Source organism: Homo sapiens, chromosome 12, assembly GCF_000001405.40.
Source record: "Homo sapiens chromosome 12, GRCh38.p14 Primary Assembly".
Taxonomy (NCBI): domain Eukaryota; kingdom Metazoa; phylum Chordata; class Mammalia; order Primates; family Hominidae; genus Homo; species Homo sapiens.
Window position 1 is genome coordinate 12,972,878 of NC_000012.12, and position 27,436 is coordinate 13,000,313.

General features: G+C 43.7%; 1 protein-coding gene and 1 long non-coding RNA gene across 8 annotated transcripts in view, besides 1 other annotated feature; one reads left to right on the forward strand and one right to left on the reverse strand.

Annotated features, from left to right (window-relative positions):
* GPRC5D-AS1 (GPRC5D and HEBP1 antisense RNA 1) overlaps positions 1 to 27,436 on the forward strand; it is a 94,773-nt gene that overhangs the window by 45,152 nt on the left and 22,185 nt on the right. For 2 of the 7 annotated variants that reach the window (NR_149063.1, NR_149064.1), the window contains 2 exons: positions 6,554 to 6,745; positions 7,123 to 7,685. This is a non-coding gene — a long non-coding RNA (GPRC5D and HEBP1 antisense RNA 1). Of the gene's footprint in view, positions 1 to 6,063; positions 6,145 to 6,553; positions 6,746 to 6,959; positions 7,012 to 7,122; positions 7,686 to 10,466; positions 11,766 to 27,436 lie in introns of those variants that run through there. The other 5 variants (NR_149065.1, NR_038920.1, NR_149062.1 and 2 more) reach the window with 5 other exon arrangements.
* On the reverse strand, positions 1,993 to 27,388 carry HEBP1 (heme binding protein 1). The gene is made up of 4 exons (NM_015987.5): positions 27,160 to 27,388; positions 16,400 to 16,538; positions 14,275 to 14,455; positions 1,993 to 2,602 (listed from the first exon to the last, which is right to left on the reverse strand). Exons 1-4 carry the CDS (start codon positions 27,235 to 27,237, stop codon positions 2,431 to 2,433), a joined length of 570 nt encoding a protein of 189 aa, NP_057071.2. The 5' UTR covers positions 27,238 to 27,388; the 3' UTR covers positions 1,993 to 2,430.
* Positions 27,253 to 27,402: a silencer, noted in NCBI's record as "silent region_4269". NCBI's record gives its function as "represses an Ori minimal core promoter by ATAC-STARR-seq in GM12878 lymphoblastoid cells {active_cell/tissue: GM12878}" and the evidence as "EXISTENCE:reporter gene assay evidence [ECO:0000049][PMID:35858748]".

The window sequence follows — 27,436 nt, forward strand, 5'->3', positions numbered from 1 at the left end:
GCCTTTCCTTGGGAGAGTTCATAATTCACCTACTCCATCTAGATATTTGTGATGTCCAAACACATCTCCACGTTAGGCTTCTATTTGTAGCATCAGACCCACACTTTCAACTGTCCACTAGATAGCCTCACTTGGATGCTCTGCAGGCCTAAATAACCTTTGCGGACAGATTAACAGGGAAAAAATATTAATAGGAAAAAATATAGATTTTTATCTGATGTTAATATTTCTATGTGGCATGGAGGACTTCACAGAAAAAAGTGAAAACTCTAAAGCAGTTAGATTTGAGAATTATATACCATTTTAACAAAGAACAATACATTGTGGAGACATGACAAAGGAAAAAGGGGTTTGGGCTGGAAGGGGGATGGGAAAGTGACTAGGAAACATATCGGGGAAACTGATGGAAGAGAAGGGCAATTTTAATAAGGTTTGTACAGACTCATCTTGGCATTGACTCCCCATCCCTGGTGATAAGCATGTTCTCCTCTTCCTAGTAGAATGAGAGCACCTTTCTCAGGGGAAATTTACATACTGCTTTTAGGTAGAAAAGGGGAGGGCAGACAGCACTTCCTGTATCTGCCATTTCTCCATTGCCTTCAGCTCAAAATAACCAATTTGCCACAGTGGCATAGTTTGGAGCAATGCTCTGCTCCTCTTCAAACCTTTTCCTTATCTCATTCACCAGTCAGCCACCAAGTCCTGTTAACCTCTTCTCTTGCTCCAAACTGTCTACTTCTCTCCATCCCCACTGCCATGATCTAGTTTTGACCTCCATCATCTTTCTCTTAGTCTTGTGACTGGTCTCTCTGTCTCCAGTCATATCCTTTTTTCAGTTTATTTTCCATACTGTAGACAGAACTTTCTTTCTAAAACATGACAGTATCACGTTCCTGCTCAAAGCTGCCCATGCACTTTTCAGTTTTCTTAAAACAAAACTTAAACTCCTTGACATGTAATAAGGCCTGTGTGGCTGCACTTTTGTCTTGGCTCCAAGGCTTCTCAAGTGTGGGAGCCTGTGGAATCCTCAGCTTCCTCACCTGTGTGTGGGAACAGCAGTACCTTTCTCACAGAGTTGCCCATGGAATAAGTGGGGCAGTGCATGCAAAGTGCTTGGCATGGTGTCTGATAGTCAAGGCTGGGTGGCTGACGGTTTTCACCCTGGATCTTCAGAAATGGTCATGGCCCATCCCTCAGAAGACTGCTGAAAGGACTCCAGGAAAGATGATGACATATAGCTCTTGTTCCTCTCCTTAGGAAACCCCACTTTATGTCCAGTAAGAACTCTTCATGGTGAGGATTAAAGCTCATTTTTCTGTTTCCTATAGAAACAGCAAATGGGGTGTGGGTGGGTGCTAAGGTGGGTTTCTCCCTGAAAACCTGTCCAGCTGTCGTAGGGAGGGCTGCTGAGAGCGTGGGGCCCTGATGCACTATGAGGATCAGAGTACCTCCTACATGCCCTGGGGCCCACTGAGAGCTTCATCCTCCCCTGCTCACTCACGGGCTCTGCTCCAGCTCAGCTGCCATCCGGCTTCCTGCTCACAGCCTTGCATCTGTGTCCTTCTCTGCAGGCCAAACTGCACCTTTTCTTTCCTTCCTATCCTCTTCAGTTAATGAAACTGGACCCCAGCTGCTTCTCATCTCATCCCCCTAAACCAATCCTCCTGGAAAATCTCCTGTCTCCAGGGTAGTCTGTGCACCATAGTGCAATGATTTTTCTTCTTGGTCTGCTCTTGTGACTCCTGGAACCCTTCGCAGACCACAGCTGCAAACAAAATCCTCAACTTATAATCACAGAGTGCTACATAACAGTCATGGGAAATGTCTAGTTTAGGGATGGTGTGTGTCCTGGTATCTTTGCGTTTATATTCGGAAGGACTTGGGAGCTCTAAATATAGGGTTCCTGCAATGGTAAACACCATCAATAGTACTCATACCTATATTACCTTCAGGACTGTAGAACCTTGGAAATAATTACACTTATGATTTGTCTCAGCTGTTTAAGTCAATGCCTTTTATTTTTAGTTTTTCTGAAGACAAAGCTCTTATAAGAATCACAGATGAAAGATCAGGCACAAATCACATTTTCCCCCTTAATAACAAAATACAAATCCAATAATTTTAGAAAATCAGTTTTTAGTGACCCAGATGCCTGGAGAAAAGCTGCCAGGATTTTTCTGGTCTATCGCAGAATTTTCTACATCAATGAGAAGGATGCTGCATATCTTGGCTGTATTATTTCCTACTGTGAGAAAAGAGACTTAGTATATGGAACATGCTTTTTTCAGAAAATTGGCAGTAACTGACTTTGAAGGAAAGTTGGTTAAGTTGGACTTGCAGCTGGAACTTGGGAAGCACTGTCCCCTCCTTACCCCCGAGGAAGGAGACACAGAGGCACACTTCCAGTAAGTTCTTGGTTCAGTGGGTCACTCATGTCTTCAACAGCCAGATCTCATTGCGCCGTCCGTAGGGCTTCATGGGAGGGTCATAACCCGTGCAGAAGTAGATGTCCCCCCGGTAGGTGGCTGTGCCCTCCAGGGCAGCACGCAGACGGGTGGCTTGTGCTACGTAGTCTGCTTCCTTGGCATAACCACCAAACTGCCTGGGGGTTCAAGAGCAAGGGCTGGTTACGAAAGGACATGACCTCTGAGAGAGGGGGGATCTTTAGAAAAAAGTCACTCACCATGTTTATTATGACAAGCATGCTAGAGTGGTAAGACTGGGGACTGAGTCACCACTTCCTAGATGGGTTGATTTTACCTCTCTGAGCCTCAGTTTCCTCATCTGAAAAAGGAGATATATTTTCTTTTTCCTCTAGAGTTTTGAGTGTTAAAAGCAGTAATGGACGTGAAAAACTCTAATGCGGGGCCTGAAACAGTAGCTGAGTATAAACGTGAGCCTCCCTTTCTTTCCTGAAATACCCAAGGGGACAGCAGGTTTGCTTTCCCAAAGGCCAAGCCTTCACCCTTTTCTCTGGCTCCCTCTACTGCCCGGCTGTACCTCTTTTCTGCTGCTCTGTCACCACCTCTGGAAGGAGGAAGTCTACAGGGGACTTCGGGCAGAGCTGCAGTGAGTATGGTGGCTAATGCCCCTTCCACAGCAGAGCAGCTCTAGTGACTGAGTTCATCACAGCAGTGACTTGTAGCAGCTTCATTTAAAAACAGAGCTAGGCTAGCCTGGGCAACACAAGACCCTGTGTCAAAAAAAAAAAAAAAAAAAAAACAAACCAAAAACCAAAACTAAAAAAGTAAAAATCTCAGAGCTAACAAAGGCAAAGACCCAAGGAAGACTTGGGAGGGCCCCACACAAGCTTTAAACATGCCCCAAATAAAGAAATCACTTCTCATAAATCCTTTCTTCTGCTCAAATCATGAAAGCCTTCTTTTTCTAGTAAGGAAAGAGACTGTTCCTAAATCTGGTATTTCTTTTGATGGCAGAAATTGGGGACAGAGAAGCAATAAAGCCTTTCTTTTCAAGATTATTATTCTCTCCCTTACGTCATGTGCTTCTGTTCCAAAATTTGTCTTGTAGCCTAGCCTAAATATACCACTCTAAATCTGGGTTGCACTAAAATTTTTATTAGAGTCAAGTACATCCCGATTTCTAATGAGCTGTATGACTCAAAAGTCTGAATTTGCACCAGGCCAAGATTAGGCCAAATAATGCATTATTTTTGGTGGAGTCCTCTGAATCATGCTTTGCTCTTTTACAAGTGGTTAGTCATGCTGGACAAGCATTCAGCATGTGGATTGCAGCATCACTGATGTGAACACCCAGGATGTTTTCTGTAATGGATTGGTTGTTCCAATGTCTAGACAACAGCTACAGAACATGGATGAAACTGAGACCAATTTTGAATAGCAGAGGCTTGATTCTTCAAATATATTGAAGAGATTATAAGGGAGATGAAGAAAGTTGGGCTCTAGCTTCATTGAGGTTCAAATGAGAGGAAACTGGGTTAGTAGACAGACAATGAACATCCAGGAAAGACTTTTTTCAGGCAATAAGAGCCTGTAAGACACTGGAGTTTTTTATGAACCATGTCTTTAGTTGGAGAACCATTTGTCTGAAATGAATCAAGTGCTGGAGGTGGAAGCAGGTGTTGAGTGCTCTCTGCACCCCCTACTTGTGCTGTGACACTGAACTGTTCTCTAGGAAAAGGGACAATGTTGGCTCTTTAAATACTGATTTTGGAAAGCTCCAAAGGAGTGCTCCTCAAATGTCTTCCTTCATCAGTTAGAGGCAAAATGGCTAGTGTGTGCTCAAATCCTAGTGCTGCCCTTTCTAGGTCTTAAGCTAATTCTAAAATTTCTCAAATCTTCAGGTTTTTCACTGGTAAAATAGGGATAGTGATAACATCAATCTTCGAAGGCTACTGTAAAGATTAAAGGAGAAAAGACTATGCAAACTGCTCAGCGCAGAGCCTGTCACGTAGTAAGCTCACAACAAACAGTAGCTATTATTGTTACTTGGCAGTTTGCTCAGAAGAGCCTTTTAATTCCCTGACTCCAGGGTGAGGGACATGATGGTAATCTAACGAAATACCATGTAGCTGAGTGTTGTGGTGCATGCCTGTGGTCCCAGCTACTTGGGAGGCTGAGGCAGGAGGACTGATCAAGGCCAGGAGTTGAGGCTGCACTGTGCTATGATCACATCTGTGAATAGCCACTGCATTCCAGCCTGGACAACATAGTGAGATCCTGTCTCCAAAACAAAAACACAAAATACAACTAAAAAAAACCATAGTAATATTATGAACTGGCTCAATGAACAATTCTCACTTTCTCAATTAGGCCTATTCTTAAAATGCTTTGTTACCTTGTAAACCCCATTCTTTAACCCCATCCCAATCTTCTTCCTATGTTTTACTTTTTCTTTCTTTCTTTTTTAACAGCACTTATCACCTTTTAACATACTATATAATTTACTCATTAAGTTTATTGTTTATGGTTTGTGTCCTCTGATAGAATATAGGCTGCACAATGGCAGGATTTTTGTTATTTTTTGGTCACTGATGTACACTGAGCACCTAACACAGTGCCTGAATATGTTGGACCCCTTGGTTAAATGAACAATTCTGGGCTAAACAATGAAAGTGATGTCTTCAGCCTGACAGAGCTAAAGATGACAGCACTTAGGACCTAGTGAGTGAAGTGGTTACATAAGTTTCACTCACTCATTCACATAATAAACATCTGAGGGGACAGTGGTGGGAACTGAAACAGGAGAAGTGGATCCACTGCAGCCAGATGCGAAGGCCTTGAATGCCATGCTAAAGAGTTTGAACCTCATCCTATATGCACAGGTAGACCTACGAAAGGGTTTTTTTTTTTTTTTTTTTTTTTTTTTTTGAGACAGAGTCTCACTCTATTACCCAGGCTGAAGTGCAGTGGCGCAATCTCGGCTCATTGCAACCTCTGCCTCCCAGGTTCAAGTGATTCTCCTGCCTTAGCTTCCCGAGTAGCTGGGACTACAGGCACACGCCCAGCTAATTTTTGTATTTTTAGTACAGATGGGGTTTTGCCGTATTGGCCAGGCTGGTCTCAAACTCCTGACCTCAGGTGATCCACCCGCCTCAGCCTCCTAAAGTGCTGGGATTACAGGTGTGAGCCACCACGCCCGGCCTGGAAAGGGTTTTAAAGTAGAGGACTGGCACGATCCAATTGTGCTTTGGAAGGATCCCTCTGCTGGCAGTGGAGGGACAGGGGAAATGGCAAGGGGTTGAGAGATGTGGGGCCACCGGAGCCCAGGAACAGCCAAGTGTGAGATGATGAAGGTGGGAGAAAGGCAGATTTGAGAGGTACCTGTATGTGGAGGGAGGTAAGAGAGAGGAAGGAAGAGAGGATTCTCCAGGGCTTCCAGTTAAGCCTCTGGGTAGAAGAAGATGCCGCTAACCAGAATAGGGATTAAAGGCTGAAGAGTAACATTAGGCAGGAGGGGCAGCTGTAGGGGTGTTCATGATTTAGTTTGGGGGGCATATGAATATTAAGGGCCCTCTGTGAAATACATTCATGCAACAATTATTATCTAAATGTGTGTCTGACCATGTAAAAATCTCCTTAGACTTGGGACAGAACTGGAGTCAGAGATACCAATTTGGGAAGGAGAAGGATCTAGTGACAGAAACTTGGGAGTGCCCAGTGGGTAGGTACTGGCTATAATCATGGTAAGAAGTGACATGTGGTAGAGATGTTGTGCAAACAGCAGGCCAGAAGCTTGCTCCTTAGAATCCTAATATCTAAATGGTGGGTGAAGAAAGAGGACCGGTCAAAGGACAGTGAGAAGGGGCTGAGAAGCAGAAGGAAACCCAGCAGAGAGTGAGATGGAGAATGTCATCACTCAGGGAGTCCTAAAATTCACTCCGGGAAAACCCCCAATTCTTTACATTTATTCCCAGGCAGACTGAAATGCTGGTAATGCAGATAAAATTTTCCCTATTGCTTCATCGTAGAATCCTTTTACTGGAAAACAAACAAACTGGGTGGGCTATGGGAACAGATACATGAGTTCTCCTCTCTGCTAATTTAACCAACCACACTGACTCCCATCACAGAACTGCACAAACAAGCCAGAAACTGAACCCTACCCGGAATCCCCTGGTGTATGAAGGGAGCCTAGCTCTGGCTGACTCTGCTTGTGTTCACAGACACTTTGCCTCATTGGTTCGTGCCTCAGCTTCCAATCTGGACATGGAGCACAATAACAGTGGGCCCACTGCTCTCCGAATTCCTGCGCGCACTTGAAGGTGAGTTAAGAAATGCTCATAAAGTGCTTTGAGCCCCTAAAAGAAAGAAACGTGAAGTCTATACATTATCTTTGTAAGCCTGTGAATACGTCTTTATCTATAAACGCCTCATCTTGAAAGAAGCTCTCCTCCAGGGCAGTGTTTTATCTCACCCAATGTCAGAGCTCAGTATTCTGAATAAAGAATTTGGTTACCATGGGAACTGAGGAATCTCAAACATACACACACCCCTGATTCCAGAAACACAACAGGAGCTGACTCAAAAGGTCTGGAAGAGTTAGAAAGGGGAAAGATGACACAAGCAATAGTGAAGGCTAGTGGAGGGAAGTGGGGCTTTCGTCCAAGGAAGCAAAAAATCATAATGTGTTATTTTTTAGGGAGTGTCTGGTGCAGGCATGCAGGGAGGAAGAATGACTCTGAGCTTGACCATTCAACTTCGAAACTTTAACATCAATGGATCAGCACACACTGGTGTACGGTCTGCTATGCATGCAGCCCTGTGCTAGGCAAAAGAAGTATCAGACCAGGAACTGACAGCCTCACTGCAACAGGAAGAGAGGCTTCACACAATAAGCGTTTCATTCAACCAGGCTGGACCTGTGCTTATTGAGTTGAACATCACTGAGCACAAAATGCAAGCCAGACACCATAAGAGCTGTAAGGATGATAAAGATGTCTTTCTACCCTCGAGAGCTCTAAGTGTGGTCAGGAGAGAAACACATGCAAAGATTATGCTGGCTGGAAGGAAATGCTGGAATGAAGGTGGAAGGTACATCCAGAATGTTCTGGGGGTGAGGAATAGCGAATGATGGGTTCTGACTTAGAACATGAAGGGAAGGTATTAAGAAAGAGGTGATATTAAGCATTTATTGAGCATCTCTACTTTTTTTGTGTATGTGACCTTGTTTGGAAATACAATATCTCTTCTTGATGCTGGCAATGAATAGTATGACAACCTTCTGTCCTCACAGAGCTTCCAACAAACAGAGGCTGTGGAGGGTTGAGAGGAGCTGGGGACATATGAGCAAAGGTCTGGAAGTGGATGTTGTGTCTGGGGTGGGAGGCATGTTGGGTGGTGGTGGGTGGGACGCTCTGAGATCAGGTTGACATGGGAGTGGTGCTATGTGTGGAGGGTGGTCAGTGCCATCACAGGGCATTTTTACTAGGCTTTACTGCCTGGTCAAACATTTGGCACCCAAAGTTGATCCACCCTCTCCTAGTGGAAATGAAGCATCTCATTACTAACTGGGCTTTTGTTCAAACCCCAACATCTGGTTGGATGGGCCTGAGGCCCCCAACCAGAGCTGAGCAGCCTCTGGGGAGGCTCAGTTTCTGAGCAAAGACAGGCGATGTGATCAGTCCTGTGCCTTAGGCAGGTGGTGATAAAAGGACACTTTAGAAGGGTCAGAAATGGGAGAGCTGGAAGCCAATACCATGGCAATCATTTGTGCAAGAGATGATGAAGACCTGTGTAGATGGAAGGGAAGGAAGGGACAGCTGGGAGCTGACCAGGATGAGCCAATAATTAGATGCAGAAGTGAAGGAGTCAGAATGACATTGGAACAGGGTGGGTAGGAGGAGGGAGGGGACCATCACTAAGACAGAGAACACAGAAAGGGATCTGATTTTGCGTGGAAATCTGCGTTGTGTTTTGGACATGCTGATTTGGGAGATACTTGAGGTGGTGATGCCTCCTGGGAGCTGGAAATATAAGGCTGGTGCTTAGGAGAGAAGGCAGCATGAGACGTGTTGACCCGGGCATCATCTACAGAGAAACAGCCTGAAGCCCTTGCCTGGTGGGAGTTTATAAAAGACTTACGGGATAACTGACAGCTATCAGGGGGAGAGAAAATGGTGATTAATTAGGCTGAGACACAGAATCTTATCATTGGCAAGGCTTTTGGACATGAGGTGGCTTAAATATTAGAGATATTTAATAAATGTTTGTCAAATCAAACCAAACTTCCCACCTAGTGCAAATGTCACATGGCATAAGTGTCACCCATCTATCCAGATGGCACTTGAATTCTTCCAGGGGCAAGGACATTACCTCATGACGTCCATTTTACTGTTAGACACCTAAAATAGTTCCTGGTACAGAGTAAGTGAACAAGAAATCCACTATCTTTTGAATGAAGGAATGAACGAGTGGGTAAATCACATTGTCTCAGGCTCCATGCTGAGTCTGATGGGATGGCAAGACATTCAGGGGAGACAGACAGAGGTTAGGCTGGAAAGTTACCAACACACTGGTGACAGCTGAAGCTATGATGGGGACCAAGATCTTTATGGGACAGAGCAGAGAGAGAGAAGCACAGGAGAGGCAAGGATGAAGCTCTTTTGTTCATGTATCCATTCACCAACTTGTTTTTGTTTTTTATTTAGAGACGGGGTCTCATTATGTTGCCCAGGCTGGTCTCGAACTCCTAAGCTCAGGTGATCCACCTGCCTTGGCCTCCCAAAGTACTAGAATTACAGATGTCAGCCACTGTGATGGCCAATTCAACAGCTTCTTATTGAACACTTGTTATATTCTAGCCAAAGGCCCTGCCCTTGGGAAGCTTGCATTCTAGTGGGGAGAGGGCAATAAATAAATGAGCAGATAGAGATATATAATGCAATTGATTATAAGTGAAGCAAAGCAAAATAAAGCTGGATAAGAGGACAGAAAAGGACAGGGTGCTATTTTCAATAGAACGGCTGGACAAGGCCCCTTTTAATCAAAGTGAGGGGGCAAAGCAGGGTGCTAAGACTGAAAACCCTTGGTCCCAACTTCCTGTGGTTACAAACAGGGTTGAATTATCTAGGAACATGGGCAAACACTGGTCTGTAAATCTCCTAAGTGGTAATGTGGGAACCCCCTAAGAGTTTAGCAGTTGAGCTCTTTCTTCCAAACTTCTCTTTCTCTAGGCGGAACTTCCCAAGCTGCCAATGGCCTCCATTGGGGCCTGGTCATTTAGAGGGAAAAATGACATCAGCAACCTAGGTGCTGACAGCTGACAAAGTTCTTTCAAATGCACAATGAAACCGGCCTTTGCAATCATGCCTTAGAAATCTTATTTTATAGATGAGAAAACTGAGGCTCAGAAAGATTAAACAACTTGCTGCAAGTTACAAAATTCATAATTATTGGAGCTGAGGTTCTAACCCAAGTGTATCTGCAGTAACTTTGACTTTTTTATTGTTAATTCTAATAAAACTTGATCAAATTCTCAAAGGGAGGTGAAGTTAGGAGGAGGAGAATAGGCTAACATTTACTGAGTGTCTACCTCATGTCTAGGATTGAGTAGGTATTTACAGGTATTATCATATTTTATCCTCACAACACCATAAAAGCTAGGTACTCATGCCCATCTTACAGATGAGGAAACTGAGGTACAGTGAGGCTGGCAATATACCAAAGGTCCTATGGCCACTGAATGATGAACTGGGTTGGAGCATAGGTTACCCTGAAAATAAACTCCTGGTTTCCAACTTTTTCCTTTATATCTAGACATTTCATTTAAACCGTGAAAGTTTCATTAAGACCATCAAACTTCTCCTGCTGTTGGTCCCTATTGAGAACCTGGTGCTGAAATGAGCTGAAAAGGCCAAACTCTAACTTAAGTGCATAGAGAAAGGACAGTAGTCTGGAATGTTGCTGCTGGTCTAAGTGTGAGGATAATTCTATTGCCTCTTGTGAATACTAAACATATTCTGATAGTGCTATTTTTTTTCACAGCATTCTATTCATCTAAAAGCACCGGTAATTAACGATGCTAATAAATGTATAATCCCTTTGTAAACATCTCTTCACAAGGTCATAAAGAAGGAAGACTGAATGAAGGACGCCAGGCTTTCATTTTAGAATTAATTTTGTCATTGAATGCACTCACTGCATTATTTGATAGAGTACTTTTGCATTTGAAGTAGTACATTTGCCTTCTACCATCTCATTAACATTGCTTTCAACAGAATCAGAAATAACACAAACCACTGCAGGGTAATTTTGAATGCTCATTTGACTATGCAGTGACATCAAGTGGCGAGTTGAGGAATGATCATATGCTGTGTGAGAACTCCGTGTTAAAAATTCCATGGAGCCAGGCTAGACACCACATTTGGCACTTTCAGCTGTTTAGATTTCAGAGAATTAAAAGGAAATGGTCACCGACCTGCCTTTGATAGTACCCGTATACCCCTTCCCACCATAAGAAACCAGCGTTCCTTAGAGAAATGGCTAATTCTAGCTCTAGGGCAAGAAATGCTAAGATGTGCTCAAAACATCTCATTATACCAGCAAGCCAGGGAGCCATCAACGACTACTGGAGCTGTGTCAAAAGGACCAACAAACCAACTTGAAGAGGCTCCCGCTGGCCAACAGTGGGGCAATTAGAGCATCAATAAGAATAATATCTGTAACAAACTGAAACGTATCAAATATGTTTAAATTCATATGTTTATAATTACACTCAAAAAACGAAGATGCAGACCACTTTACCTTGAGGATGTTACAGAATGAAATTATCATTCTGAAAACTGGTAAATAAAGAGAAGGTATCAAGTAAGCATGTATCTGGCTTTTTCTATATGAAATAAAGGAAGCCAAATAGTAAACGAGGGGAAGTTTCTCTTTACTGAAATATTGCAGGTAATAAAAGAAGAAGGAGAAACAGAGAACATTATCGTTTTATGGCCTCTAATGGAACAAGACATCTAGGCAATGATGAACTATGGTCACCAACATCACTCAATCAGGGACAATCAGACACTGTGGGCCCCTGAAGGAAGTAAACACCACCACGTAGGAAATATTCTCACCAAAACTTCAAAAACTTGAATCTGATCTAGTCTTTAGTTTCAACTACTAATTTACAGGCAATACGGGGCTCAGAGGGATGTGGTAAAATGTCACGGAAATATAATCAGCAAAATCCAGTACAGATAATAAGAAGACAAATGATCCACAGATGGAAAGGAAGAATGTAAAGTTGTGTTGGTAAAGAAATTCACAGATTAATAAAAGCTTAAAAATGTACCATCAGCCAGGTGTGGTTGTGTGCAACTGTAGTACCAGCTACTTGAGAGGCTGAGGTGGGAGGATTACCTGAGCCCAGGAGTTTGAGGCTGCAGTGAGCTATGATCACACCACTGCACTGCAGCCTGGGCAACAGAGCAAGGCCTTGTCTCTTAACAACAACAACAAAAAGAAAGTACTACAAAATCTGACTTGGATCCAGATTCTAACAAAATATTAAAACAAATGATGGCCAGGCGTGGTGGCTCACGCCTGTAATCCCAGCACTTTGGGAGGCCGAGGCAGGTGGATCACAAGGTCAGGAGTTCAAGACCAGCCTGGCCAAGATGGTGAAACCCTGTCTCTACTAAAAAACTACAAATATTAGGCACAGTGGCAGGTTCCTGTACTCCCAGCTACTTGGGAGGCTGAGGCAGGAGAATTGCTTGAACCCAGGCAGCAGAGGTTGCAGTGAGCCAAGATCGCACCACTGCACTCCAGCCTGGGCAACAGAGAGAGACTCCGTTGGAAAAAAAAAAAAAGTAATGGGGGAAATCTGAGCATTGAATATTTTATATTATAAATTAATGAAGTACTATTGAAATTTCAGAAAAAAGGTATTGTGATTATATTTTAAAAAAATCTTCAGTAATTACCTGAAATATTTATGAATGAAATAATATAATGTCTGGAATTTGCCTAAAAATAATCCAGGGTAGGGCTGGGTGAATGCTGTGAAGATACACATGACACAGAATTGGCCTTGAGCTGATCGTTGCTGTAGGTAGGGGATGGGCACATATGATTTCATGATCTTATATGCTTCTACCTTTCTATAAGTTTGAAAATTCCCATACTAAAAAGTTAAAGACAAAAGAAAAAAAAATTATATCCACTCATTACTCAGGGTCTGGTAAAACAAATGATCAGAAACTAGCCCCATCTGCTTGAAGTCTTAATGTGAACTGATTCAATCATGTCTATCTCATTCCTTATGAAATAAGAATGAACAGACAGAAGGGGTAATTGCCAAAACCTGCTTCAGGTCATAAACATTAGGTAATACATAAATAGTATCTTAGTAAATACTGAAAGATATTTAACAATAATCCTATAAGGTTACATTACATGCACACACACACACATCATATATAGGAGGTTATATTATCAGCACTTAACAAATGCAAAAGCTAAGTCTTAAAGTGGCTAACTTCCCAAGCATCATTCTGCTAGTAAGCAGTAGAGCTGGAATTCAAATAAAATACAAGTTCATTTTATTATACCTGCTGCTTCCCAAACACAGGAAATAGAATGGAAAAGACAAGCAGACATCTAACCCAGGGCACAAGATTTAAGGAGGCGCTCACTCTCAGTCCCCATCCTGCACTTGGACAGCTGTGAGAGTGAGTGCTTCCTTAAATGCTGCACCCAAGGTGCATCTCCACCCTAGGAAAAGATATTGTTAAGTTAATTTGCTTTCTCCACACCCTCTGAAGGGAAGCTGGGAAGTCTGAATGAGGACTGCAGGACAAGCACAGGAGCTGAGGCTCCGGTGCTAGCTCCCAGCTGCATTACATTCACTGTCCTCTGGAGGGCCCTGCAGTCACCTGGCCTAGGACTACACACAGCGGTGAAACTCACATTCTCAGAACATTGACACAGCTCCGGGGAAAATGGTCCCACCATCAGGTTCAGGGTTGCAGCAGGGCAGCCAAGTTTGGAGGTCCCTGAAGTGGACCAATACTCAGTCCAGTGCAATATTATATGTATGTGAATTTTTCATGAGGTTGCTCCTGAGCGGAGCCAAACCACCTATGATTACTTCTGGTGAAGATCCTGGTCTTTCCCTGAGCCTGGTTTGGTGCCTGTCACATGGGAGTGTTTTAACAAATGTGAGGAGTCATCAATGATCTAGAAGACTTGGTTTCTGAGGGCAGTTTGGAGCACAAGGGATAGAAACTAGTAACCATTTGCACCTGCTATTCTCTACAGTCAAGGGAAAATGACCCCACATGAAGTCCTGGAAACAGGACCAGGATGACAAGAGAATAGATGTGTGCTCTGCTCAAAGGACTACCATCCAGGAACAACAAGGAGGATGGAAGCCCAGCTCTAGCAAATGCTCCCTGCTCTCTGGCATTCAAAGGGAGTGTGGGGTAGAAATCAGGTATTCCTCAGCCCTTTATGCTTCCCATGTGTCCACGAATCCAGACCATGGCTTGACTTAAGATATTTGCTGAGTCTCCTAGAACCCTGCTATGGCTAATGTAGACATTCACTGTAAGCTTAAGCAAAGCTTAAGCTCGTCCCATCAATTTGGCAACTGGCCAAGGCATTTATTCTGATAAAATGCAAATGTGTGTGTGCTGCAGCCTGAAGAAATTAAAATGAGAAACTGTTAGGATTCAGCATTTCCTACTTAAATTAATTCAGCAACCATAAAAATTTGACGCGAATGCTTGCCAGAGGTGATGCAAGGAGTGGTACGGGAATCAAGCGCCACCCATGGATGCCTGAAGGATTGTCTCCTTACATGGAATAGACAGTGATGCCTTCCCGTTCCTCAATCTTAACGCTTTTGTCACTGGGAGCTGGTGGGTCGCTTTGAAATTGGTTTGGAATCCGGAACCAGACTTTTAATTTCTTCTGCAGAGAGCCATCTTCATTGGGGAACACAGCAAAGGAAATAGGGACTGTCATCCCCATCCCAATTCCTGAAAACACAAAAGCACAGAGTGAGGCAGGGATCAGAGACAGAGCTTGCTCAGGGCTGTGGAAGACACATTAGTTCCATTCGTCTTTCAAAGTGGTATGTTTTTGTTCTTGAAATTAACAATGAACATTTCAAGTGTTAAAAATACAGAAATACATGAACACCTGTTATTTGTATACGCTGTTGGTAGGAGTATAGTGGTACAACTCTAAAAAATGATTTGGCAATATATATCAAGACTGTAGATTATCAGTCTCTTTCTCTCTCTCTCTCTCTCTCTTTCTCTCTCTCTCTCTCTCTCTCTTTCTTTCTTTCTTCCGACAGTCTTGCTCTGTTGCCCAGGCTGGAGTGCAGTGGCATGATCTCGGCTTACTGTAAACTCTGCCTCCTGGGTTCCTGGGTTCAAGCGATTCTTGTGCCTCAGCCTTCTGAGTAGATGGGATTACAGGTGTGCGCCACCACACCCAGCTTATTTTTGTATTTTTAGTAGAGATGGGGTTTTGCCATGTTGGCCAGGCTCGTCTTAAACTCCTACCTCAAGTGATTTGCCCATCTTGGCCTCCCAAAGTGCTGGGATTACAGGTGTGAGCCACCATGCCTAGCCAGTATTTAATTACTGCCTATTTAAAACATCAATCTAAAATATGGAAAAGGCTATAGGTAGTAAGATATTCATTACAGCAGAATTATAAATTCTGTTCAAAACAGGAATATGTCTGTGTAAATTACAGACACATGATACAATATAATGTAGCTAGGAATTATGCTTAAGAAGACTCTGGTACTAGTGGAAAATAATTATGAAATAATAACTAACAGAAGCAGGATATGTAATTATAGGAACACTAAGATTACATTAAAAAGCCCTAAAAAATACATTCAAAAGACAACATTGATTGTATTGAATGGGGGAATTAGGGAATACTGTTTTGTTATTTTAAAGGTTTTCTTTAGTGAGTTTTATAATTCTCATACATATTTTCATTTAAAAAAATGTTAAGACAGTGTTAAGAAGGAAAAGATTTCTTCCTGACCTCCTACAGGTTAACGTATCTTCCAAAGCCTGACTACTTTAGTCCTAGTAAATTTTTTTTTTAAAGCAAGTTTTTTAAGTAAGTAAAGGAATAAAAGAATGGTTACTCAATAGACAGAGCAGCTCCTAGTAAATGTTACTAAGGCTAACACACGTTTTTAGCTCTCTAAATTATCAGCTTGAGAAATATCCTAAAAATTAAACACATCTCTTTTTTTTCCTCTTGCTTTCTGACCCATTTTTGTTTTGCAGTGATTCCAAAATGCTACCCAAATTAGAGGGCTTCTCACGAGTCAAACTCATTTTTAAATATGGTTTACATCTAACAGGTACACCTTTCATGAGACTTCAGGCTTATCATTTTAAAAGTAGAGAGGTGGCCAGCATGAACTGCCAAGTTTTTAAGAGCAGGATGGCCCAAGAATTCTCAGACCCTTCATTTGCCAGACAGGGTCTGGAACCTCACTGCTCACTGAGCCTCAGGACCCAGCAGAATCTGAGCTACCAGGGGCTGACTCTGGGGATCTCCAGCCTGATGCTGGCCTTGCGTTGTGCTGTAGCTCAGCTTACTGTGGGCACACGCCACCTAGTCAACCAATCCAAAGACATAATAAGCACTGCAGGGTTAAAAAAAAAATAGAGCCTATGGTCCCACACCTGGGAGTGAAGCAGGAACTTGGAGATATTGAGCAGGGATGCCTTCAAGTGAGGGACAGACTGGGCTGATATCAGAGTGGTTTCCCCACATTCCTGCAATAAACTGCTTGTTCACACAGTGCAGGAGGTTCACAGGTCATTGAAACAGGTCACTACAGGTGCCTTGTAGCCCCTCACTTGCATTTACCACTGATGAAGTGAGACCTTGCAAAGCTGGTCCCCGAGACCAGAGCCACATCCTGCAGGGGTACTCACCCTTGTCATTGGTGCCCCCCGCATACTTTGCGACCTTGGGCATTGCTTCCCGTAGAGCCTCATCCACAGGCTTATCTGTCACTTCTACTGTGGCAAATTTGCCGCCTTCACAGGCCCTTTCTTCATAGGCAACTTCTTCCTAGAGAGAGAGAAGGTACAGTGTTTAAGAGGTACAAAGTAGCAACTTGTGATGTCTCTAGAAGTAGTAACAGAGGGCTAAAAAACTTTCCTTGGTGGGTATGGCCATAGAGCAGAAGGGACAGGCCTGAGTATGAAGGGCCATGAGAAATAGATTCTGGGATTCTTGTAGAGACAATATCCAAAGCAGGAAAATCTTATACATTATATTCTTGGGGAGATAAGAGAAGATATTGCATCCTGAAAACCAGAATGCTACAAAAATGGAACATTCAGAGAGCAAAAGAGCTCTCAGAAATTAAAAATCTGATAACAGAGAAGAAAAATTCAGTAAACAGGTTGGAAGATAAAGTTAAACAGGAGATTCAGAAAAAAATACAGATAAACTTAGAAGGGAGGAAACAAAAAATACAACGATGACAATCCAACAAAACTGTGAAGCTCCCAAAATTAGGCTCATTCTAGTAGGAGGACTGCAATTCAAGGAATCAGAGTTCATTTTTCCCTTGGCCTCCTTGGGGGACTGGATCCAGGACCTCTATGGATACCAAAATCCATGGATGCTCAAGTCCCTGATATAAAATGGTGTAGTATTTTGCATATAACCCACACACATCCTCATACATACTTTAAATCATCTCTACATTACTTATAATACTTAATACAATGTAAAAGCCAAGCAAATAGTTGCTACTCTCTGTGCACACACACACACACACACACACACACACACACAAACACACACACATGTATTTTATTTATTTATTTATTTTTGAGACAGTGTTTCACTCTGTCACCCAGGCTGGTGTGCAGTGGTATGATCATGGCTCACTAGCCTCGACCTCCTGAGCTCAAGCGATCCTCCTACTTAGGCTTCCTGAGTAAGTGGGACCGCAGGTGCATACCACCATGCCCTGCTAATTAAAAAAAAAAATTTTTTTTTTTTTTTGGTAGAGTCTCCCTATGTTGTACAGGCTGGTCTCAAACTCCTGGGCTCAAGCAATCCTCCTGTCTTGGCTTCCCAGTGTTGGCATTATAGGCATGAGCCACAATTGAAACTGCCTTTGCAAAAATTATAACTGAGGAAATTATGACAGTGAAAGAAATCAGACTTCATTGACTCTATCTTGTTTCTAACCCTTAAGCTGTCCTTGTGGGATTCCTGGGCTTAGGCCGAACTAATTGTAGGAAGGAATTCAGTTCGTGGCTTGACTCTGAAAGAAAATTGGTAACAGCCCTTTCCCAATAAGACCCCCTTCTTGCCTGGGGTCCAGTCTGACTTTGCAGGACTAACAAATTAGCTACAAGATTAGAAATTACAATTTAGAGGTCATGCAGCCTCTGGCTCCAAGAGTCTGAACCTCCTCAAATTGCTCCTGGGGATAACATCACTATTGTAAAACCTAAGATCAGTGCGTGAGATATTTTCCAGACCCTGTACTCGATGGATCAGCTGACACCACTCAGACCAGTAATCTGGCCCAACCAGTTCTGCCATTGCACCGAGGAACAGAAGACAGCAAGAAAAACCTAACTTGGCACCCCCCATGATTCCATCTCCAACCTGACCAATCAGCACTCCCCACTCCCCAAGCCACTACCTGCCAAATTATCTTTAAAAACTCTCATCCCTGAATGCTCAGGGAGACTGATTTGAGTAATAACAAACCTCTGGTCTCCCGCAGAGCTGGCTCTGCATGAATTACTCTTTCTCCATTACAATTCCCCTGTCTTGATAAATTGGTTCTATCTAGGCAGCAGGCAAGGTGAACCCACTGGGCAGTTACACCACGCCTGGCCTCTGCTGTTGATTTATGTATTTTTTATTGCTGTATTGCTATTATTATTTTTTGAATATTTTCCATCTGTGGTTGGTTGAATCGTGGATCCAGAACCCACAGACAGGAAGGGCTGACTGTAGCTCTGTTCACACCGTGCTCCCAGACACAGCATATCCTCTCCCTAACTCTTGTCTCACTAAATCACAGCCTCCCAATCTGCTTAATGCTCAGCTCCACTGTCTCTTTTCACACAAATCCTTCTTTCATCTCCCCATCACCACTTTCTGCATTGAGGCCCTGTCCTTGGACTATCCTTTCCCTGGTGTTTACTCATTATGGACCCCCACAGCTCTCCTTCAGTACATCTCCTGCTCCTTGCCACGTGATTGCTCATATAATTTAATTTTGTATTCCTGGACATACTGTAAGGCAGTGTTCTTCACATTTTGAAAAAAAATCACAATCCACAAGAAGGAAAGCATTTTTTACAGCCTGTCTTATCATGAATATACACATAGTTAAAGTTTCACAAAGTAATGCTTTACCCTTATGGATGAGATGCATCCTGGCTTTTTTTTTGTTCCTTCCCCTATCCTGTTTTCTTCTCTTCTACTCTACTGGAGTGAATTTTATTCCATCCCATTAGAAGAAGGAAAGTTGGTCTATGTTAATTTTACCATCTGGTAATGAAACATTATTATAGTTTTAACAATCTGCAATAAAGCCTTTATGGGCAGAAACTATACCACAGAGCTTTACATGTGAGAAGTGCAACAGATATTTATTTGATTAAGGTGCTGTGTCTCCTAACAATGATTATGAAAAACAGACACATGGTAGGGAACCTGGCTGCCCTAGACTGGTCAAATAGGTTTTCATATAATATCCTAGACTGAAGATTCACAACTAGGGAAGAGGGTGTGACTCCCAGGGGGACAGAAGGTGTCTCTGGAGGAAGGCAGGACTGTACGGCTGTGAGTGGCAAGTGTAGTCTCAATGAGCATATTTAATATTTATTTTATTTTTGAGACAGAGTCTTGCTCTGTCACCCGGGCTGGAGTGCAGTGGTGTGATCTCTGCTAAGAGCAACCTTCACCCCCCAGGTTCAAGTGATTCTTCTGCCTCAGCCTCACAAGTAGCTGAGACTACAGGCGAACGCCACCACTCCCAGCTAATTTTTGTGTTTTTAGTAGAGATGGGGTTTTGCCACATTGGACAGACTGGTCTCGAACTCCTGACCTCAGGTGTTCTGCCCACCTCGGCCTCCCAAAGTGCTGGGATTACAGGTATGAGCCACTGTGCCCGGCCTTAATATTGTAATTTTAACCCTGAGTGCCAAGTTTGTACTTAAATCCCCCTTCACATGGGGTAGAGGAAATTGCGCCAGACCAGGAATCATGAGGCAGCAAGTCAGCCTTGACTGTGGGGCACCGTGCTGAATCATTCTGAGGCTGCTGTGAAGCCCTCCATCTGGTGAATCTGACACTTCCAAAGAGCCTTCAGTAGCAAACTGTTAAGTAAACTTAGGGTGTTTTGCTCTTTCTGTTGCTGCAGAGAATTCCAGAACTCCCCTTTCATTTGAGAGCGCACCTACCCTTGGCACTTGTAATGTTTTAAATTCCAGAAACACTATCCTGTGAATCACAGAAGTTCAGAACCTAAAATGGTTTTAAAGTTTACCTAATCTAACTAATTTTATCAAGGAGAAAATGAAGAACCAGAGAGACTAAGTTGCTCAAAGTGATGTAACTACTGAATGGTGAAACTGAAACAAAAATTCCAGTTCCCAAACTCTAGTCTACTCCAGTCTAATACTCGTTGCAAGGTTCTCTAAAGCTATGGGGGGTGAAGTGAGCATTTAAACCTCTGTTTCTTTTCTTTATCCTCCTTTCTTTCCTCTCTCTGTCTTTCTTTTTTTCTTTCGTTTCCCCCTCCCTCCCTCCCTCCCTCCCTTCCTTCCTTCCTTCCTTCCTCTCTCTCTCTCTCTTTCTTTCTCTTTCTTACAGGGTCTCATGGTTGCTCAAGCTGGAGTGCAGTGGTACAATCTTGGCTCACTGTAACTTCAGCCTCCTGGGCTCACGTGATCCTCCCACCTCATCCTCCTAAGTAGCTGGGACTACAGGTGTGTGCCACCATGCCCAGCTAATTTTTTTTGTATTTTGTTTTCTCTGTCTTCTTTTGTAGAGACAGGGTTTCACCACGTTGCCCAAGCTGGTCTCAAACTTCTGAGCTCATGCGATCCACCTATGTCAGCCTTCCAAAGTGTCTTTGCTTTTTTTTTTTTTCTTTTCCTCTCTCTCTCTCTCTCTCTCTCTCTCTCTCTTTCAGATGGGGTCTTGCAATGTTGCCCAGTCTGTAACCTCTCTCTTTAGCCACTGTGTTAGATACTTTGGGCGGACAGTTGTATGCCCATATCAAATTCAGAATAGAGGTATCAGAAGTCATTTTACGCAGTTACTTCTTTTACAAATGGGAAGACCAAAAACAAGATCTCACTGGAGAAAGAGCTAACTGGCTCTTTCCTTTGGTCTTTTTCTTCTTTTATTCATTTAACCAACAACTACTGAGTATCTACCATGTGCTGAACATTGTTACAGGTGCTATAAGGGAAGATGCCAGGAAAACAGAATGTTATCATCTAATGATATTTTTAGGGGGCAAGGAGTGCCAGGGCAGTATGGGAACACAGGAAAGGACCACTTAGGTTAGTTTATGGGGCATGGGTGTATGTGATAACATGTTTGGGGAGGTCAAGCTGACTTTGAGGTGGTCACAGATCACCCAACCGGACGTTCAGTCACTACTTTATTAATTCATGGAATAAACATTGTCGAAAACCTTTGCCAGGTGGTACAGATTTGGAGATTAATATGATAGGGATAATCAGGAGGATGGTGAGGAGTATTACACAAATTATTGTACAATGCAGTAAATGCTCTGATCATTTGGGGAGGATATTCCAGGTAGTGGGTACCATAAGAGTAAACGAGGAGGGGTCAAGAACAGTATGATGACTGTGAGTACAAATATTACAAATAGTTGTGGCTGGAGCAAAGACTGTCAAGCAGGACACAAAAAAGGTGTTCTGGCAGGGGCCAGATCTCAGAAGAACTCAGAGGCTGTTGTGGGAGTTGGATTTTGTAACCATTAGTCCAGTGATGGTGATTTGATAGCAAGCCAGTTCATCTACTCTAAATTAGTTCAACTGACATTTGTGACCTAAACATAGGATTTTGCAAGTATGTCTGGGTCTTGAATGGAGGGTCTCTGCAGCAGAAAAGAGATCTATAAAATGGCACGAGCAACCTGTGCTCTTGGCCTGTTCTCCAGGCACAAAGTCCACAGCAAGGAAAGAAAGGCTGCCAAGAAGGGACTCCAGCTTGACTTGGAGAGCCAAGTCCCCCATGATACACCTATCATCCTTCAAGGCTTGGCTCAACTTCACCACCTCCTCCTCCTGAGTGATCCCTCCTTTCTAGGAACCCCTAAAGTCAGATAACTCTAGAGCTGGAAGGGGTCTCATGTGTCCATCAGTTCATCTCCTCCTGATACAGATGAGCAAACTGTCCATTGGGTAGTTGGGCACACAGGTCTGGAGCTCAGCAGGGGACTGGCATAGAGGCGTAAATTTGGGAGTCATTAGCATAAGGGGAGACTAGAGCTGTGAATGAGGTTGGGATTGTCCAGAGAGCATATATAGGGCACTCTACACCAATCTAACTGTGTTAATTAATCTGCTGCCTAAAGGCATTCATTCATCAAGTTCTTAACCTGCCCTTGATGATGCAGGCACCACTGAGCTTCTACCTACGTTGCCAGCCACACTCACAGCACCTGCTCTGCAGCTTTCTGCTGTTTCCTTTGATGCCATGGTCATTTCCACGCCAGGGCCTCTGTGTCTGCTGCTCCCTCTCCCTGGAGCATTCTCCTCCTGCCTTTGCCTGGTGTCTCCCTATTCATCTAACAGGCTCCAACCTAAAAGTTACTTCCTCAGAGAGGATCCTGACTTAAAATAGGTTCCCTGTGATATTCTTACCCACGCTGTACCTTCATAACACAATACTTATTGTAATTACAATTAAATGATGTGTTAAACTCCCACCTCCACCCACAAGCCCCACAGGGTAAGGACTGTTTCTCTTGTTCACCGCTGTATCTCTCTGTACCTAGATGTACCACGCCTTGCATATTGTAGGCACTCTACAAATATTTGTGAGAAAGGAGATATGCAGAGTAAAACCTAGTTTTACTCTAATGACAAGGAATACAAGAGCCATAATAGATGGGCAGAGAGATGAGGACCTCGTCTAATAGGATCTCCTGGAGAAAAGCTGGGCCACAATGTATTAAACCAGTTCTAGTGCAGGGATCACTTGTTTTCATAGCATCTGTATCCATAACCACTCATTTGAACCACGGGACCACTGTGAAAATTCAGGCTTAAGAGATGGATTTGTAAAACTATTCTAGTTCTCCAGGGAGCTCTATTTAAATGTATTTAACCAGAATTCTCTACTGCTGTAGAGAATAAGGCAGCTAAGTTAATACAGTCTTGATTCTTAAAATTTAACATCTTTAGTGCATTTGCTTGTGACATGGAACACAATAGTAGCCCTCCTTCACCCCATCTCCATTAGTCTATGCTCCCAATCAGTTCCTAGATGGAGATTTTGGCCTGTGGCTACAAAAACCAATTTTCAACATTCAGTGGGAACCTTGGTCAAGTTCAAGTCCCAGACAAAGGTTTAACAAGAATGCCTCTGGCTATGGGATTTGTAAGTCCTTTGAAAGGTCAGTTTTTTTCTTGCCACTTCATGTAGTGGGTATACATGCTAATGTTGGAAACCTGCTTTCTCATTACAAGAAAATACTGATCATAACAATTAACCTAACAGAGTACTTTCTATTTGTCTGGTGTTATTTTAAATGCTTTACGTGGATTCATTCATTCAATTTCTCCAATAACCCTGTGAAGAAGTTAGGGCTTTAATCTTCATTTTCAGATGAAACTGGGGAACAAGAGGTTAAGTAACATGCCCAAACTGCAGCGGGTGAATAGTGGAGCCAGGACTCAAAGCCAGGCTATCAGGTCCTAACCTGTGTGCACAGGCCGGACACAAATCTGATTAAGGATGTCAGTTACTAATATCAGTTCTGCTGTGAGCATCCAAAGGCCCACCCAATCCAACACAGAGAGCTGTCTACCCTCCTCCCTCCCTGAGCAATTAAGAAGGCACCTGATAAGGTCTGCGGCAGCACTGGCCTCCCTGCCAAGTACTTGGAATCAGTCCCCAACATCTGGTGAGCCTGAAGCCCATGCTATGTGGGGAATATGGTATGCCATCATTTGCCCAGGAGAGTGGACAATAGTTTCTGACCCAGGCTGTTTCCAGGATAAAATATAATTTCAGGGAGAGGTTCTCTTCAAAAATAATACCTTTATGTTTGTATATTTAAAAAAAAAAAGGTTTACAAGTATCTATGCATAATTAATTAATTTCACATTGGCATTGTTATTCTCATCTTAGAGTTGAGGAATTCAAGGGCTCACGGGATGTTAAGTAATTTACCCAAACTTTACTGTAAAACTACAGTAAAGCTAACCATTACCATCTCCAACCAAGTACTAACATTGAACAGTTTTATAATTGGTTATCTCATTTGAACTTCAAAACAATCTATTAATATATGAACTATTATTTTCTTCCACAATTAGCTTCAGAGGGGCTAAGTTGGCCTGTGACCACACAGCTAGAAAGAATGAAGCTGAGATGAGCACTGATATAATGCTATTACTATATTTGTAGGGTATGTATACTACTTTACAAAATGTTTTCATGGTTTTAAAGAATTTAATACTTATAGTAACTCTGGAAATAGATGGAAAAGATATTTTTATACTCATTTTATAGCTGTAGAAACAGGTTCATTTGGGTTAAATGATTTGCTTTAGCCTGGTACCAATATCCCATATGGCCCCATATTCCCATCAAACACTGAGAGAAGATGCTTATTAGGGAGTTCTCCTTATCCCAGAGGCCCCAAATTAACGGCAAGTGACACTGTATCAATAAGAGTCAAACAGGAAACAGAAACTACTAGAGTATTTAGAGCAGAAGCACTTCGATGCAAGGGATTGGTTGCACAGATAACAGAGGGGCTGAGATGCCAGCAGGGGACAGAGAGGCAACCTAGAGGTTAGTAAGCACCCTAGGAGACACAGAGGGAGAATTACCTGTTACCTAAGTTCAGATACCTAGGTTACTGGGTAGAAGCTAGAATCATGGTGGCCTGTGTAGCGGAAGCCAAAGCCACAGAGAAGCTCCTAGTAGTATGGATCTGATGGGGTGGAGAAGGAGGAGAAATACTCTGGTTTCTCCCTTTTTATCTCCCAGTAGAGACTCCCACTGAGCAAACGTAGCTGGGCGCCGGCTGACATCTGGCCTGGGAAACAGGCCGAATGGGTCAGCTTCCACTCCACAGGAAGACAGCAGAGCAGGGAATGGGTGAGGAAGGAATCTGAGGGCACAGGCCACGAACCAGCCCAGACCCCTCTCCGCCTGTGTGGGCCATCATCATTAATCCAAAAAGACAAAGTGAGCCCCATTCCATGACAAAAGCAAGAACACATGGATTCTTAAAGTGTTAGAATCACAGGAACCTTCATCAGGGCTGTTAGGAGAAAGGCTGTGGTTCTGAGTAGGGCAACTACTTGATGGGGAGGCCAGTGATGCTGCAGACCTTATCAGGTGCCTTTTTCATTGCCCAGGGAGGCGGATAGACAGCTCTCTGTGTTGGCTTGGGTGGGTCCTTTGGATGCTCACAGCAGGACTGATATTAATAACTGGCATCCTTATTGCATTTGTGTCCAGCCTATGCACAACTATGTCAGTTTCCCTACTCAAAATCACAGCCTCACTCCTAATACTCCCTATTCCTCACTCCCCTGCTTGCTTTTCTTCACAGCACTGATCACTATCTGATCCATGATACATTTTATTTGTTCATTAGCCAATAAAACATAAGTTCCATGAGGGCAGAGAATTTTGCTGGTTTTAATCTTTTATCCCATTGCCTAGAAGAGTGCCTGGCACATAGCACTCAAAAAACAGTTTTTGTCGAATTATTTTTAAATTGGGTGATTTCGCTAAGAATCTGGATGTATGGTTTTCCTTAAGAATTTGGCAACACTGTTTCATATATCACTGCATAGCAACAAGTGGCTGGAACTGCCGTTTAGAGATGGGGACCTGAGTTCACTCTCTGATTTGCCTCAGTCCCCACTATGCCTTATAGCCTAAAACAGCCAGCTTCATCCATTTCCATTACCTGCCTGGTTGCTGCAGGTATTCAAATGTGGGACCTCTGATCAGGGCTAAACTGTTCATTCTACATAGAGCTGGGGAAACGGAGATAAGAACAGGTGAAAGGTCTTTGGTTGTCAAAGAGTTCAGATTAGAGTCTAATTGAGGGCTTTCGTGATATGAAGATCATTGTACTAGGTATCAGAACTTGGCCCCCAGGCAATACAGTCCTTTCACAAATGAGGCATCGTATTGGGAGCTCTGTATACAGCTGCACTGTTTAAACTACCTGTCCACCAGGAGATTATAATCTAGCAGCACTCTCCTTGTTTTCAGGGGTGCAGTCCAGTTAGCCCATGTTAGCACTGATATAAATTTGGGGGAAGACAGCAATTATGCTCTTCTCACTCATTCTGTATTCTAGGTACCCAACTCCAGAGGATCTAACTGGCCAAAAGCAATGGTACAGCTCTGGGCCTTTGTGCATGCTCTTCTCTGTTGTGTGCACTCCTACACATCCCTGAGGCCCCAGCTCAGGACACTCCACTGAGGTCCCCATCATAGCCCCCTGGCAGAATTGACTGCCTCTGTGCTCCCTGCGTAGCGCATTTATATCTATTCTGCACAGATCTTGTTCTTTTACACAGTAGTCCCCCTTATCTATAGTAGATACCTTCCAAGCCCCCCAGTGGATACCTGAAACGGTGGACAAAACTGAACCCTGTATCTACTACGTTTTTTCCTATACATACATACCTATGATATAGTTTAACTTTATCAATTAGGCACAGTAAGAGATGAACAACAATAATAAAATAACAGCAATTATAACAATATGCCAGCATTGCTAAGCTTGCACTTTGGGGCCATTACTAAGTAAAATAAGGGTTACTTCAATACCGCCACGGTCGATCCGATCACCAAGCTAGCTACTAAGTGACTAAGGGCGGCTACTAGAGATAGGAGGCTGACCTTGGACAAAGGGGCATTCCGGTCCCAGGAATCAAGATTTCATCCTGCTACGCAGAATGGCCGGAAACTTAAAACTTAGGACTTCTGTATTTCTGGAATTTTCCATTTAATAGTTATGGACAAGAGCTGACCACAGGTAACTGAAATCGCGGATAAAGGGGGCTACTATCCGCAGTTCTCTAGTACTTGGGAGTTTCTTGCGACACTCATTTCTGCAACCGAGTGTCTCTCAACAAATCAAACTGTTCGGAATGTTTGGAATATTTTAAACGAAAGAATGCATTCAACAGGCAGTGCCCAACTCCCCAAGTTGGGATTCTCTCCTTGGATCAGTCTCTCCTGTTTACCCCCCTCCTCTCACCACCGGCTGCAGGGGGACCTCTCACTCCTTTCCTTCCCAGTCCAAATGCTGGGCGGTGGAGAGCCGCACTCGCGACAGACACCAGAACGCACCTTCGATAGCACATTCCTGCCCCACCTGCCCCTCAGCACCCGCTGCAGCCCCGACGAGGGTGGGGGTGGGAGGCAGCAATCCTTCAGGTCCTCGGCAGCCCTGCGGGCCTACCTTGTCCCCTTTGCTTAGGACCTGCCAAGGCCACGTCTCTACGCTTCCGAACAGCGAGTTCTTGATCATGCCCAACATGTTGTAGCCGAGACGCTCCCGACGCACGGGAGGACGTGAGGTGGCGGGGGCGACGGAGCACCACGGGCAGCGACCACCGGCGGCAGGGCGGCAGGGCGGCAGGGCGGCAGGGCGGCAGGGTGGCAGGGCGGCAAGGCGGCGGGACGGCGAGGCGGCGAGGCGAGAGGCGGGGCTAGAGGCAGGGGCCAGAGGGCGTGGC

Excerpts from the sequence above, each read along its gene's own strand:
- HEBP1 (NM_015987.5), bottom strand. The coding sequence starts at position 27,237 with ATGTTGGGCATGATCAAGAACTCGCTGTTCGGAAGCGTAGAGACGTGG. Across the intron at positions 16,539-27,159 it reads TCCTAAGCAAAGGGGACAAG|GAAGAAGTTGCCTATGAAGA; the intron begins GTAGGCCCGCAG and ends CTCTCTCTCTAG. Across the intron at positions 14,456-16,399 it reads GGGGGGCACCAATGACAAGG|GAATTGGGATGGGGATGACA; the intron begins GTGAGTACCCCT and ends TTGTGTTTTCAG.